This window comes from Homo sapiens, chromosome 9, assembly GCF_000001405.40.
Source record: "Homo sapiens chromosome 9, GRCh38.p14 Primary Assembly".
Classification (NCBI taxonomy): Eukaryota; Metazoa; Chordata; class Mammalia; order Primates; family Hominidae; genus Homo; species Homo sapiens.
The window spans coordinates 18,907,054-18,920,963 of record NC_000009.12 but is presented as its reverse complement, the minus strand read 5'-3'; the positions used below and the strand labels follow the sequence as shown (position 1 = coordinate 18,920,963).

General features: G+C 45.6%; 1 protein-coding gene across 12 annotated transcripts in view; it reads right to left on the bottom strand.

Moving 5' to 3' along the window:
* Window positions 1–10,013: 10,013 nt before the first annotated feature.
* The window catches only part of ADAMTSL1 (ADAMTS like 1), a 1,004,318-nt gene continuing 1,000,421 nt past the window's right edge, over window positions 10,014–13,910 (bottom strand). For all 12 annotated transcript variants that reach the window (XM_011518064.4, XM_017015312.3, XM_011518063.3 and 9 more), the window contains one exon: window positions 10,014–12,522. In XM_011518064.4, the coding sequence (XP_011516366.1) occupies window positions 12,416–12,522 (107 nt within the window). In that variant the 3' untranslated portion in view covers window positions 10,014–12,415. The remainder of the gene's footprint in view (window positions 12,523–13,910) is intronic.

Here is a 13,910-nt window from a genome sequence, read left to right as displayed (position 1 = left end):
ATATTTTGAAGGCTCTGTGAAGCCCTATAGTAAAGAAACCTTGTTTAACTTTGTATAACCCAGTGTATGAATCAGCATTCTTGCAATTACAAGTGCTTAAGCAAAAAAGAGGATTTATTGGTTCAGGCAGTTGAACAGTCTAGGGCTTTCTCTGTTGACTTTAGGCATAGCTGGAACCAGGGGTGTCAGGGATACAGTGAGGTCTTGGTCTTCACCTTTTGGCTTTGTTTTCTTCTACAATGCCCTCTTACATAGGCCTTACAACATCCTTTTAGCTAGTAATCCCAATGGAGAGAAAAGGGCCTTTGCTTCCCAGTGGTTCCAGTAAAAGTACCTGAATTGAGTCTTGCTGGGCTTGAGTTTTATGCTGATCCCTGAGCTGATCATTGTAGCAATAGAAGATACTAATCATCCAGGCTTGAATTGGGGTCCACCCCTGGACGGAGCAGTGTGTATGTGTGGGGTCAATCTCGTGTGAACTACATGAACTGCATGAGGGCTGAAGGGGTGGGGTGGGTCCCCAAAGGAAAACTGAGGTGTAGTTTCCAGGGAAGGGAGGGATGAACATTGAGCAGGAGGAAGCAACATTTTTCAGCTCTGACGAGAGAGCCCTTTTATTGTGTAAAACCTGTTGGAACACACATGGAGAAGTACTGCCAAGTACTCATCATAAATTTTTCAAATAAGTTTAGAATACAATAAAATACACATGCCATGCAGACACGTAGTTCAATCTATCTTTTATGATTCAGAAATCTCATTGGATCCTGTAGCTTCTCAGGGTCAGCTCTGAGTGTTAAAATATCCTGGTTGTTGACAGTTTAGATCATTTGGCTTCTTGATAAATGAGAGGTTATGGTACAGCCAAAATGCAGGACACAGAGGGCCTGGGAAAATTCATTTATGATGGACAATGGACTCATGCGAGTATCACTTGCGTAAAGCCCCTTCGAGTTCTAAAAGCACCAGCACATCCCATCTCATTCAATCCACGCAACCCCTCTCTGTTGTTATTCCTGCCTTTCCAGGCAGGCAACTGAGGCTCAGAGAGGTCATACAACTTGGCAAAGTCCTCACAGGATTGCTCAGGGGATTAGAGGAAATGAGGTTTGTAAAACAAACCTTGTGGACAGTAGTTTTTGAACGGTACCTTGGAAGAAGGGGAGCGCTAGAGAGATGCAAGAATAATCTCTTCATTCAGATTGAGAGAAAAGAATGAATTTTGGAATACTTTTAAAGGGGCATGCAGTTTACAGGTGTATGACCTAAGAAATAGGTTGAAAAAACTTTAGGAACAGTAACCGTGTGTGTGTGTGTGTGTGTGTGTGTGTGTGTGTGTGTTTGTGTATGATCTTCCACTGTACCTAATATAGAGTTAGCATCCAGATCTATTCAATAATTGCTTCTGGGAACACAGATACAAAAATGTTGATTAGATTCCAATGGGGGTTTTTTACACGATGTTTATTTATAAGACTAATCTGTAAAAAGGAATGATTACAGCCAGGAGTTGAAGGTTATTTGAAGAGATCATTCAGTGTTTAAGTTCTTGGTTTGAAACAGTTAATCACTTTAGGTTGGATTCTCTTCACTCTAGAAAACAATTCCTTTGGATACACCAAGGAAAAACATATTTTTGTCTTGTGATTTGGTAACACATAGTCACATCTTGGAGTCTGTCTTATAAAACCCCAAACGATGGTATTTAGGAAGCATTTATCTTCTTGGTTAAGAAGCTCAGGAAGATTCCATGAGACTCCTACTTTTGTTTCCCGTGGGCTCCGGGAACCTGCCTGACTTAAGACTATCACAGTGCCCTTCCCCACCCTGTGCAGCCCCTCTTTCAGAGTCCTGGGTCAGTCATTCTAACATTCTCTTGTCCCAGGGCACCTCCCAGGGAGCCTGCCCAGATGGCCCCCAGGTGGTCTTCAGCTTCTTCCAGGCGTTCATTTTCTCTACTTGTCCAGTGAGTTCCCTGTGTGGTAGGTGGGGACTCAGGAACCCTGTCTTCTCCCTCCATATGTCCTGTCATGTAAACCGCCACCTCATAGATCTGCCTACTTCCTCCTCCACAAACCCTCGCAGCTGACTTAGCTCTGGTCATCAGGATGGATGGAATGCCTTGTCATAGCATTGACCACATCCCTCCGTTCCTCCCTCTGTCCCTCCCTCCCTCCGTCCCTCCCTCCCTCCCTCCCTCCGTCCCTGCCTCCGTCCCTCCCTCCCATCCATCCACCTATCCATCCATATATATGTACTTACACCTATTCATTCTTTCCAAAAACGTCTATTGGGTGCCATGCACTCTTCTGGGTGTTTGGGCCTACATCAGTTAACAGAGCAGACTCAGATCCTGCTCTTGTGGAGCTTATGGTCTAGTGAGGGGGAGATAAACATTAATAATAAATAAGCATAATAAATAATGAGCAATTATATAATGTATAATTAAAATAACACATACTAAATAATAAGCATATTAATGATCTGATATGTCAGAAGGCAACAAGGAAAAGGTCATTGGGATGAAGAGGCTCAGGTTCTGGGAGGCACAGGTTTTAGTTAATGGAGCAATCAGGAAGGGCCTCATTGAGAAGGTGAGATTTGTGAGGCCTGAAGTAGGAGATGAGAGAAGGAGCCAAGTGTCTGTCAGGGAGCAGCTAGAGCACAGGCCCTAAGGTGGGCATGTTTCTGTCTAGCTGTGTTCAGAGAGCAGTGAGGAGGCCAGTGAGCACCTCACAGGCTATTGCCAGGAATTTGGCTCATATTCTGAGGGGTGCCAACATCAAGCTTGGACCTGAGAAGTGCCAAGATCTGGTGTCTGTGAAAATCATCACTGTGGTCACCCTGATTGCTTATGGAGGGGAGCACATGCTGTAGGGGAGCACCAGCTGTAGGGGAGCACAGGTAGAAGCAAGGCCTAGTAGAAGGCTTATTCCATAGAAGGCAATGCAGGCTCACACCTGGTGGGGAGAAGTGGGGGCCATGAGAAAAGTGTCACGTTCTGCATGTGTTTCAAAGGCGGGCCACATGAAGTTGCTGATTGGATGTGAGCTGGGAATAAGAGGACTGAGCACGATGCCACAATTTTGGGTTTAAGTGACTGAAAGGACAGAACTATCATCCATGGAGAAGGATGAGGGTGGGATCGCTACAAGCTGCTTCTGGGAATTGAGGTATGGTGGGGATTTGAGGAGAACCTGCAGTGAAGAAGGTCTTGCACTTCTGCTTCCTGCCATGGTCCCTGAGAAGTGATTGCAACATCCTTGATTTCTGAAAGCCTTTCCTCTGTTTCCCTTTTCTGTCCCACAGCCTTTAGGGAGAAAGGGGTCTTTTCTGACATCCTCGAGGAAGGGTTTTCTAAAGTCAAGGTTACCAGCACCAGGGTTGGATAAGTAATAGTAGCTGTGCTGTGTGCTTTGAGGGAGAAGGGAGGATGGGAGTTAGCTCAGGCAGTGGGAATAGCTTCCTGAGATTGTGAGTATCAGCTGAAATGTGACCTGCCTCCCTTTTCTTTCCCTTCCTTCCCTTTTCTCCTGTGTCTCCTCATCCCAGGCCTCTCCAGCCAATTAGCCAGATCTTGTCCCTTAGGATTTCTTCATCCTTTATCATGTCATGCAATTTAGTCTTCTCTTGGTCACTTTCTTTTGTATTCCCACCCATCATTTTTTCAGCAAAACAAAAGATCAGTTTTTCAGCAAGACAAAAGATCAGTTAGAAGAAGAGAGGTTGTAAATAATTATACAATAAATAATATAATTTTATGTTTCCACCACAAATCCAGACCTGGCCCTGAAATTAGTGTGCCCTGGAAGTGTGCCATGGGGAAATGGAGGAGAGGTGAGGGGGGCAGGTAGCTTTGTGAAGATAGGATTCTGTACCCTTGATGGTGACTCTGGATCTCAGGCAGCATCCAACTCTAAAGGCTATCAAAGATGGAGGGGCCCAGCTCTCTGCCTTTGCTGCAAGGCGGTGGGGAAAAGAATTGGATAATTGGTCAATATTTAAAGACTTTATGTAACATGGATTTTGTAGCCTCCATATTTGCCCTGCCCTGATTTAACAAGAGTGGATGGTTGTGGGTGTGGTGGTTGCTATTCCATGGCTCATGAGAAGGTGGAGAGTGGAAGGAGAATGGGGCCTTCATGGAACTGAGGCCAGCCACCCAGAGAGAGTGGCCAGAAATGAGGCTGGGCTGTTGTAAGGTGCTTCAGGATATTTTAAGGAGTTCAGTCCTAACTACAGTGGGAAGGTATAAAGATTTTAAAGCACAGGACTGATAACATTCAAACCGTGTTTTGGGAAGGTCTTTTATGAACTGATTTAAGCCATTTTTGTTGATCAGCAGTTCCCAAGTTATCATGGTGAAGATGGGTAGCTCCCATCCATGAGAGGCTGAGGCTGCGTCTCCACCCACACAGTCTCAGTACCTGAGGTGGTGTGTTACAATGAAAACAAGTCTCAGTCCAAATTCTGGCATGGGCATAAATGCTAGCAAACTGGTCCAAAGTACTTGTGTAACCTGCTCCCTGAACTTGAATAAGTCTTATTGTCCAACCCTAGGCACCCTGATAAATGGTTAGTTACTCTAAAGTGAATGTTCCTAAAGTAAGATTAGCCAAAAACTTCCCTCTTCAGACCAGGCAAACAGAGTTGGGCACATAGAACCAAAGACAACACTAGACTTGGATCATCAGGCTACTGGGTTTGCTGGTGTTTTAGTTGATTTGTGCTCTCAGGAGTACCACGGACTGGGTAGTTTATAAAGAGCAGACATTTATTTCTCACAGTTTTGGAGGCTGGAAAGTTCAAGATCAAGGTGCCAGTGAGGACTGTTCTCTGCTTCCAAGATGGCGCCTTTGATGCTGCATCCTCCAGAAGGGAGGAATGCTGTGTCCTCACATGACAGAAGGTAGAAGGGCAGAAAGGAAATGGACTCCCTCTGTGAAGTCTCTTTAGGGAGCTTAACCCCCTTCATGAGAGGAGGAGCCCTCATGACCTCATTGCCTCTTAAAAGCCTCACCTCTTAATACCACCACATTGTCAACAGCTGAATTTTGGAGTGAGTAGGGGCACGTTCAAACGATAGTAGCTGGATTCTCAGATTATCTGTACAAGGGTAGTCATGTTCGTTTCTTCTCTCCAGTCCTCAAACACAGCGTATTTTACTACTGTGTGACTAATAAACTTTGTATAATTAATGAACTTTCTAGTGCAGATTTAGATAATAATATTTGAAATACTTCGGATGGCCACTTCTGGAGGGTGGATTTATGATTGGGTGTTTTAAATGTTATCTAACTGCCCCAAGAGTACAGATTTAAGTTAATTTTATACATATATATCAGTTTATACTGAAGTTTTATAGGCAATATAACAATAGTTTTAGCTGTTGTGTGGAAAGTGGATTGGTAGAGACCAGAGTAGATTTAAATAATCCAGTTAGAAGACCTTTGCAAATGCCTCAATGAGAGAAGATTACGAATAAATAGAGCAATCACTGGGTGCTGACTGTGGAAGGGGCCAAATGAGGGAGAAGAGCTGGAGATTCCTCAGAACCTGGACTTCATAACTGTGGTAGGACACACTGTCATTTGCTGTGGGATGTGTCTGTTTCCCAATTAGACTGTGAGCTCCCTGATAGCAGGGACTAGGCTCTCATCCCTGTGTCCTTGGAGCCCAGAGTTGGTGCTTAGCAAAGTGTGTTAAACTCTGAGGAAAAGGAAAGGTATGTCATGGAAAAAGAAATCAGGGAGAAGAAGATGAGATGAGAAGGGATGGACACTCATCTGGGAAGGGTTGAGCGAGGACCACCAGGGCTAGATGAGGACTTTGGTTGTTTTCCATCCCTGCTTCATACTTGGCCAAGTACGAAGGCAAACCCTCACTGTGCAAAGAGTGTGGAGGATTCAGGTCATGGGGGCCTGCTTTTAGGGGGTTACCTTGAATCTCTTCACTGTAGTAGGGAGGGGCGTGTGCAGGCTGAAGAAACTCAGCTCAGGAGTCCATGGAGCTGGCACCTGCCCTGTGCTCTGGCACTGAGACATGCTGACCTCCAGCCATGAGACAGAACCCAGATGTTCCTCAATAATCAAGTTATGTCTTGATAAACCTATTATAAGTCAAAAATATCAGAAATGAAAAGTGTGTTTCTGACTTAGAGTATTTTAAATTTATGACGAGTTTATTTGGACATAGCCCCACTGTCAGTGAAGAAGTATACTGAACGTGTATTTTTTTGGCACCATTGTGTAAAGTTGAGAAATTGTAAGTCAAACCATCGTAATTCAGGGATTGTCTGTAGATGGGTGACTGAAGAACAATTTTGCCATTCTTCACTAGCCTCAGCCAAGCCATTTCCTGGCCCTTCTACTGTTATTTAAAAAATGATGATCAGGGCTTAGGAGAAGAAAACCAAGCTTTATCACTACACTCCTGGGCTTCACCACTAGACATTTCCTCAACTTGCTCACCTGGTAACTAAGTTGTTCACAGCTTGTCTACTATGCTTCACAGGATTTGTAACGTAACATTCTAACGATAGCCACCCTGGCCATCATGAAGTTCCGGAGAGGGAGGCAGGTTTCCCAGGCTTTCTGCTTTCTGGTCTGAATGTTGATCATGCAATCTCTCAGGCTCTCCTAAGCATTCTGCTTAAACAAACATTATTTATGTTCGGCAGGAGAACCATTCCTGACTGTCTGCTTTTTCCTCACTCACATAAAACCTCACATTTAATTTCTGTTTATACACATATAAACCATATCTTTAGGGGCAGCCTGGGAAATCCTAGGTTGGAGATGGAATTTGCCTTTTGAAAACACAGAGGTGAGTGACATCTGTATATTGTGTTATCAGAGGTGTGACACGTGCTTGGTTGGGACCAGGTGCTTTACAGAATCTGAGTGAAATTGTAAAACGAGTTGACAAGGCAGCAGCCCAGTTCTTTTAGCAAAGGCTTGATTACCAATATCTGCCTTTCAGTTTTGGGGTAGCAACAAAACAGCTGAAAATCTTGGGGTGCTATGAATAAACTGAGGTTTGGCCAAAGAGAACAGTCTCTGACAAGCTCATACACATTTGATTTGTAAAAGCATCTCCAAGTGAACTGGGTGAGTGGGGAGCAGACAATAATTTGAGGTTAAACTTGGAGGATTGTAGAATTCTTTGGGTATTCAAGTCTTTACTGTTTACTTCAAGGCCTTACATCAATCAACACCAATATTGTCCTAATTGGCAGTATGTGATGTGGGTAGATATAACCTTCTCTGATTTAACTCACATTCAGTGCAGACTGAATCTGAATCCTGAAGTCTATACGTTATAGTGGGTTTACGGAACAAAATGAGGAACACAGAGAGACAAGACCAAAGGGGAGTTATGCCTTATTTTGTTTCCTGATTTATCCTTCCCTGGGTTAATTCACCTAACAGGTCAGTTTTCATTAGGTTACTTCTGAAGTGCTCCATCTTTTTCTCTACCCCACCATTCCCTGACCCTTTGTAGATGGCTTTGAATTCTTTTGGGAATGCCACTAACAGATGATTGAAATCTAACTTGTCTCATTTTAGCTGAAAACCATCAATAAAGGTGGACTATTTCTTTGGGTTCATTTGCAGGATGAAGTGAGGGGATAACTGCATGTTATTTATGAAAAACTCAACCACTTGCAAGTGAAATACCCTTAGTTTTAGCTTTTACTTGTATATTTGCCCATGAATGAATATTTCTCCATACTTTTTAGTTACTTGAAGGAAATGGTAGTTATGTGTACATTTGGGTGTTCTGAGTTGAGTCTAGGCAGTACATTGGAATTATAACATTTCTCCTGGGAGGTAATATTTCTGGAAGTTTGTCAGTTTTTTGGTGAGGTTTTGAGTTGGCTACCTGGATTGATAGGTTTTCTTCCAACACATAGAACTTGGTTCATTGATGTCTTTCTTGTTTATACTTTTGTGTAGTTTTTTTTCTTTTTTTTTTTTTTTTTTTTGTGAGATAGGGTCTAACTCTGTCACCCATGCTGGAGTGCAGTAGCCTGGCCATAGCTGACTGCAGCCTTGAGCTCCAGGGCTCTTGAGAAGCTGGGGACTACGGGTGTGAGCCACCATACCCAGGTAATTAAAAATTTTTTTGTAGAGACATGGTCTCGCCATGTCTAGGCTGGTCTCAGACTCCTCGAGGGATCTTCCTGCCTTGGCCTTCCAAAATGCTGAGATTAGAGGTGTGAGCCACTGTGCCTGGCTGTTGTGTAGTATTGAGCTTTGAAGGAGCAATTGATTTTCTTCTCAATTAAAAATGGAAACATGGGAGAGTCTTTCAAAGCTGACAATGGGAAGTAATGTAAAATATCAAAAATTCTGTCAGCCCTGCCCTTCATCTCCCTGTTTCTTCCAAGGTAACTTAGATGATGCTGATGATAATAGCAATTAACAGTCAATAAGTGCTTCGATGATATGCCAGATACCCCCCAAGCTTTTTTTTTTTTTTGAGATGGAGTCTTGCTGTGTCACCCAGGCTGGAGTGTAGTGGTGTGATCTTGGCTTACTGCAACCTTTGCTTCCTGGGTTCAAGCAGTTCAATGTGAATTAACTAATGGTTTTCACACAGCCCTACCTGATGAGGTATGCTGTTGCAGGAAGAAGAAACTGAGGCATAAATGAGATTCAGTGACTGTCGACCACTCTGATCTTAATGGGATCAGGGATTTCCTGGAAATCTTTGAGGCTAAGCAAGGACTCTGTGCTTTTGGCTGGAAAAATTTACATACATTGTATTGGGGCCCTTCCCACCATTTGAGCCTTACTGGGTTTTTGCTCTGGCATTTCCAGCTCCTCCCTCCTGCCGTGGGGCCTCTGTAAGACATTGTTTGGTTGCTGGTCTGTGAATAGGTATAGTTTTAGCATTGGCTTTTTCTTTAAAGCAAAACCTAAAACCTCTTAAAAAAGTAACTGAAATGTCAAGAAGAGCTTTCTGGTATATTTTCACACTGTTCGACAGGCCTGTGGTGTGCCGGGGCGAGCTGCTGGCAGACCGGCTGGAGTTGGGCTTTCTGGAGCAGCTCTCACCATAGACTCTGCATGGACATCTTCTCCGCCCGGCAACATGCTGCCCTTTCACTAGGGCCTGTTTATAAAGAGTTCTACAGGTGTGCTTGTTTCCCCCCCGCACTTCCTACAGTAGCTGTTTTTATTAAAATGCTTTAAAAATAGGGAGCTAGAAGTGCTATCATGGTAAAAGAACTGCCTTTAGGGTAGGAGAAAGTGACAATTTCAGTAAAATGTCCTGTTACTGTCATTGACCGACCTTAAAGCAGTAGGGAAGAATGGCATGCGTGCCCAAGGTGGCTGTGGCACAGCAGTTGCAGGCAGCGGGGTTGGAGGCAGCATGGTGGGTCAAATCGAGTCTTCGGCTAGAGTAGGACTGCCTGACTTTCAATCCTAGTTCCCCCAGCTGGGTGACCTTGGGCTTCTTTGGGCTGCTATTTTCCCATATGTAAATGGAGATAATCATAGGGCTAATGTGAGGATTAAATGTAGTTGTGATCTATAAGTGTTAGTCTTTATTAATAGCATACATCCGAACTTTCACCATGCAGCTGCCTCCCGCTGTGTGTGTCTCTGTTGGTAGGAAGCCTGATGAGTGAGGATAATTCCACACCCAAGTCTGCATCTCTCCCAAGCGATGTCCCTGTTTGCTTCACTTCCCGAAGGTACTGTGGCTCCCATCTTCCCACCACATAGGGCTGTCAGTGAGTTAACTGTCGTCTCATTTGGCTGCACTCAGCCTGAATGTGTGTACATCTACAAACGCAGCTTCTTTGGGTTTATTTACAGAGCTAGCACTTCTAGGCATGGGCCCCCAGCTTCCTGTGTAAAGATGAAAACTGCAATCCTTCCACTTCAGCCAGACGCAAATAACTGGCTGGGAACCACCCAACTGACAGGGACTTCTCTTGCTCCCTGCATAAACCACCAGGGGAAGGAAGGCTGAGTTTAACAGAGACTCAGACGACAAGATTTAAATAAATAAGCTGTATTATCTGTACAAAAAATACAAATACAGTTTTGTGTTTTAGAGGAGAAAGTGCCTCCTTCCACATTAGCCAGCAGCCTTCATTGTCTTGTGGTGCTGCTGAGTTGCAATTCACAGAACAAACATTAAATGTACATTCATTTCATGCAACGAGCATTCTGCTTCCCACCCAAACCTAGGTTCTGCCAGCTCACTGAGACCCACTGCCAACTGCTCCAACCCAACATGGAGCTGGAGGATGCTTGCTCTTTAGGAAATGTAAATAGTGACCACTGATTTTCAATCACTATCGAACTAGAAATAATTAACCACATTAGTAGTAGTATGGAATTTGTCTGTCTTTATCATTCCATGCATAACTATTATGCCACAAATGAATTCCCTCTTACTGCCTCAGCATCCCATGTTAGTTTTTACAACACATCCTGTACAGTGAATGGATCCAGAGTTAAACACCAGGTTCTATTAAAAATAGGAAAAATATAATAATCACTACTGAGTTTACAGGAACACAACTGCAGGAAGTTAGTTAATAAAGTCCCCCCAATAGTTTTGTTTCTGGATGACAATGTACAATTATTAATATTGCACTTTTTTAATAAGAAATCCTAATAAATATTCACAAAAGATATACAGACATAGAAAACATTCTTTTTTATTTTAAACAGACTTTACACTGATTTTTTAGTAACATGATTTCTTAGAGCCTGTTTTTGTGGTGAAGAAGAAGGAGACCCAACTTAAACCTGTCCACAGCTCACTAGGTGGGGACACAGATTAATATTGTCTTCCTCTCAAATTTTACTTCCAGGCTGGCTGGAAATGCAGCCCTGATGTCAATGGTAGCCCGGGGTGAGTGGCATTTCATGAGGGGAGGCTTATCTGTGGGTAAGGGACTCTGGCCACCCTTGCTCCTAAACTCAGGCCACGCGAGGGAAGGAGGCAAAAATTACTTGGCCAAAGCTGCTCGGCTTAATGAGGATTTTGCCGAAGAGTCCCAGAGTTTTCATTTTGCTGCATGACTTTGACTTTGCTCCAGCCGCCTCACCACAGCTGATGAGTGTGGCTGCAGTGTGTGAGCTGCTTTGCCAGGGTGCTGCCTCCACCACCCCGCCTTGCTAGATAAATACTACATGCCGGAGGACCTGCAGACCCTGGGGTGGAGGCTGGGAGAGGGAGGGTGTACTGTGGACACGCATAAACCCATTGTCCCACCCCGGTCCCTGGGCCAGCTCTGGAATGAAGAGGTTGCTACAACCTGACAGCCTGACAGATACTCTCTGGCACAGTGACTAGTTAATGGGTTGATGTTGATAAGTTAACCATAGTCCCTGGCCCTTCGGTGGAGCAGCAAAGGTCCTAGAAGGCAAAAAACCTGGGCCATTCATGCTCAAAATGGCCCTGGCCCACAGCAGCAGTTAGTTAGTGCGGGGCTAGGGGACTTCGGATTTAGATAAAGAGGTGCCAGGGTGGCCTTACTGCATGGCGAGACCCACCTCTCACTGGCTTTGCTGCAGCTGCACAGGCAGGACGTTGACTCTGATAGCTTGGGAAGTGGGGACTCCCACGCAGCGCAGTGCTCTGTTGTGGGCAGCAGGGCTCTGAGCATGCGCACATGCATGGGATCAGAGCTGGTCCATGAGCCTCATGCAGCCTGGAAGCCCCTGCTCACCCTGCCCCACTGGGGAACACCACAGGCTCCTTTTTGCTTCTGTCCCTTCCCTCCCCTCCCTTCCTCATTTTCTGCAATGTTGTGTGCCTTAGAGCCTGCTTTGTTTGCTTTTTTACCTCTCCCTACTGGTGATCTGAGTTCTTCTCTCTCTGCACTCACCCACTAGAAGAACTGAGTGAGTTCTGGGCTAGTTTCTGCCTCAGCATGGTGTCCCCTCCCCATTTGTCCTAACTGTGACTAAAGGGACATAGATGGGGAAGAGGAGACAAAGGAGCAAAACACTCCTGTGTTTGTGATAGTGCGCTTCTAGGAAAGACACAGGAATTTGTCCAATGTTTGCACCAATAGGCTACAAACCTTCTGGCTCCCTGCTGTCCGCAGGGGCTGTGCCTGCCTCTTTCTAGGTCTTTGAGACCCAGGTTTGGGAGGGAGGAAGCTCTTCAAGGGAGCCCCCACTGTCTGCCTGGCCTGCTCTGCAACCTCCTTTAGACATCTGTCCTTTCCTTTCCCAACATCCTGTCCTCCAGCTAACTGAAAGAGAAAACACGCGGACGTCCTTATGCTTGAAGGTGGAGGTGGAGGAGGTTGGAAGGGTGTGTGTGGAGTGGGGAGGGGGAAATAAATAAATAAAATGAAGAAAGCTTAGGTTCTGTCCGAGGTGGTTGCGTGAGTCCTTCGTGTGGCCAGGGTAGAGTTTTTCCCCACACCCTATCTTCACGCTTTGCCACAAGTTCCACAGCAGCGAGATTTAAACTGGCTGAGTTGGCAGAGTTTCAGCTGTTTCACCTTCTCGCAGTACCTGGTGGTGTCTCTGCACTCCACTGGGAAAGGAGGACGGGGTCGGGAGAGGAGACAGAAAAGAGATGTGAAACAGAGACTAATGAACGCAGCCTGTGTGAGGTGCAGCCGGGGGTTTCAGCCACTGGGGTACATCCTGGGGTCTGCCTTGGCCACCGCTCTCCAGCCTAACTTTGACAGAGCTCAGCCACTTGCTCCCCAAGGCTGCCAACAGCAGGGGTGGCACCAGCCTGCAGCTGTCTGGCTGAATGATGGGGCCCCTCCCTGGGCTGTCTGCTTGTTTTCTGCAGCTCCCTCTACTTCCTGAAGGTGCCTGTTTTCTCTATCTTCTTGGGATTACCTCATCTCCTAGGTGATCACCTCTCCCCCTAGGCAAACCTGCCTTTTCCCGTGGGTTTTGGTATTTTAAGTAAATGACTCTCCTCCTCAAGATGGTTCCCAGCACTGCATCCTCCCCGACTTTGCAGGAGTGTGAAGTGAGACTTGCGTCGGGTGCCCCCATCCCCAGGCACTTGGGCCTACTTTCTCTGTTAAGCTTTATTTTCATGTGCCCTCCAGTCTCTCTTCCTTCTACCCATCATGCCTTAAACACAGCACCAGGACGTTCTAGTTCAGTGTTGGCACAGACTAGATGGTCTTAAATATTGTGCTGACTTGGTTTGGTAAGTTTTAACTATGTGCGTTGAATATTGGCGCTCTCTGAGCATGGTGAGCCACTGACACAAACATGGGTTAACACTACCCGAGTACAAAGATCATCCATCCCCCAGCGTGTAAAAAGAAGTGGGCTATTTGCCTACATGGCGTCTGCCTTAGTGTTGGGAATTTATTGCTCAGTGAGGCCCAGTTGGGGAGAAAACTGCACAGCTACATTTGGTTTTTACTTCCTACTCTTTGCCTCAAGCTTTGCCACCTTTCTCATGGGTAAGTACCTCTGATTTGGGTTCAGAGGAAGAAAAAAATAAACTCCTTCCCAACTGGAATACAAATGATGGTATTGGGATGACGAGGAAGGAGTGAAGTGAGTATCAAATTCCAAGGCTGGGGGGTCCTGGACAGTTCCAGGGGATGCCTGTGGGGTTGGGAGGGAGGGGGTCAGCTGGTCCTTGTTGGGTGAGAAGCAGAGGTGTGATGGGCGCAGATCTGGTTGGCTGAGCAGGAGGCACTCTGTGCTCCTTTAGAGTTAACAGCATTTTCTGTTTAGTAGCCTGGCCCCTGAGAGTTGTTGATGAGTCAGACCCTGTGGGCACCAGCCAGACTGACTGCAGGGGAACTGGAGGCTGATTTCCTCCAGCACTGGGCCAATAGCACCTGGCTCTCTCAGGGCCAGGATGGAGATCATGGAAGCCCTTGGGGCATACCCTGTCATGCTTATATACACCTCTCTGCATACACCCATGCACCCCACTGA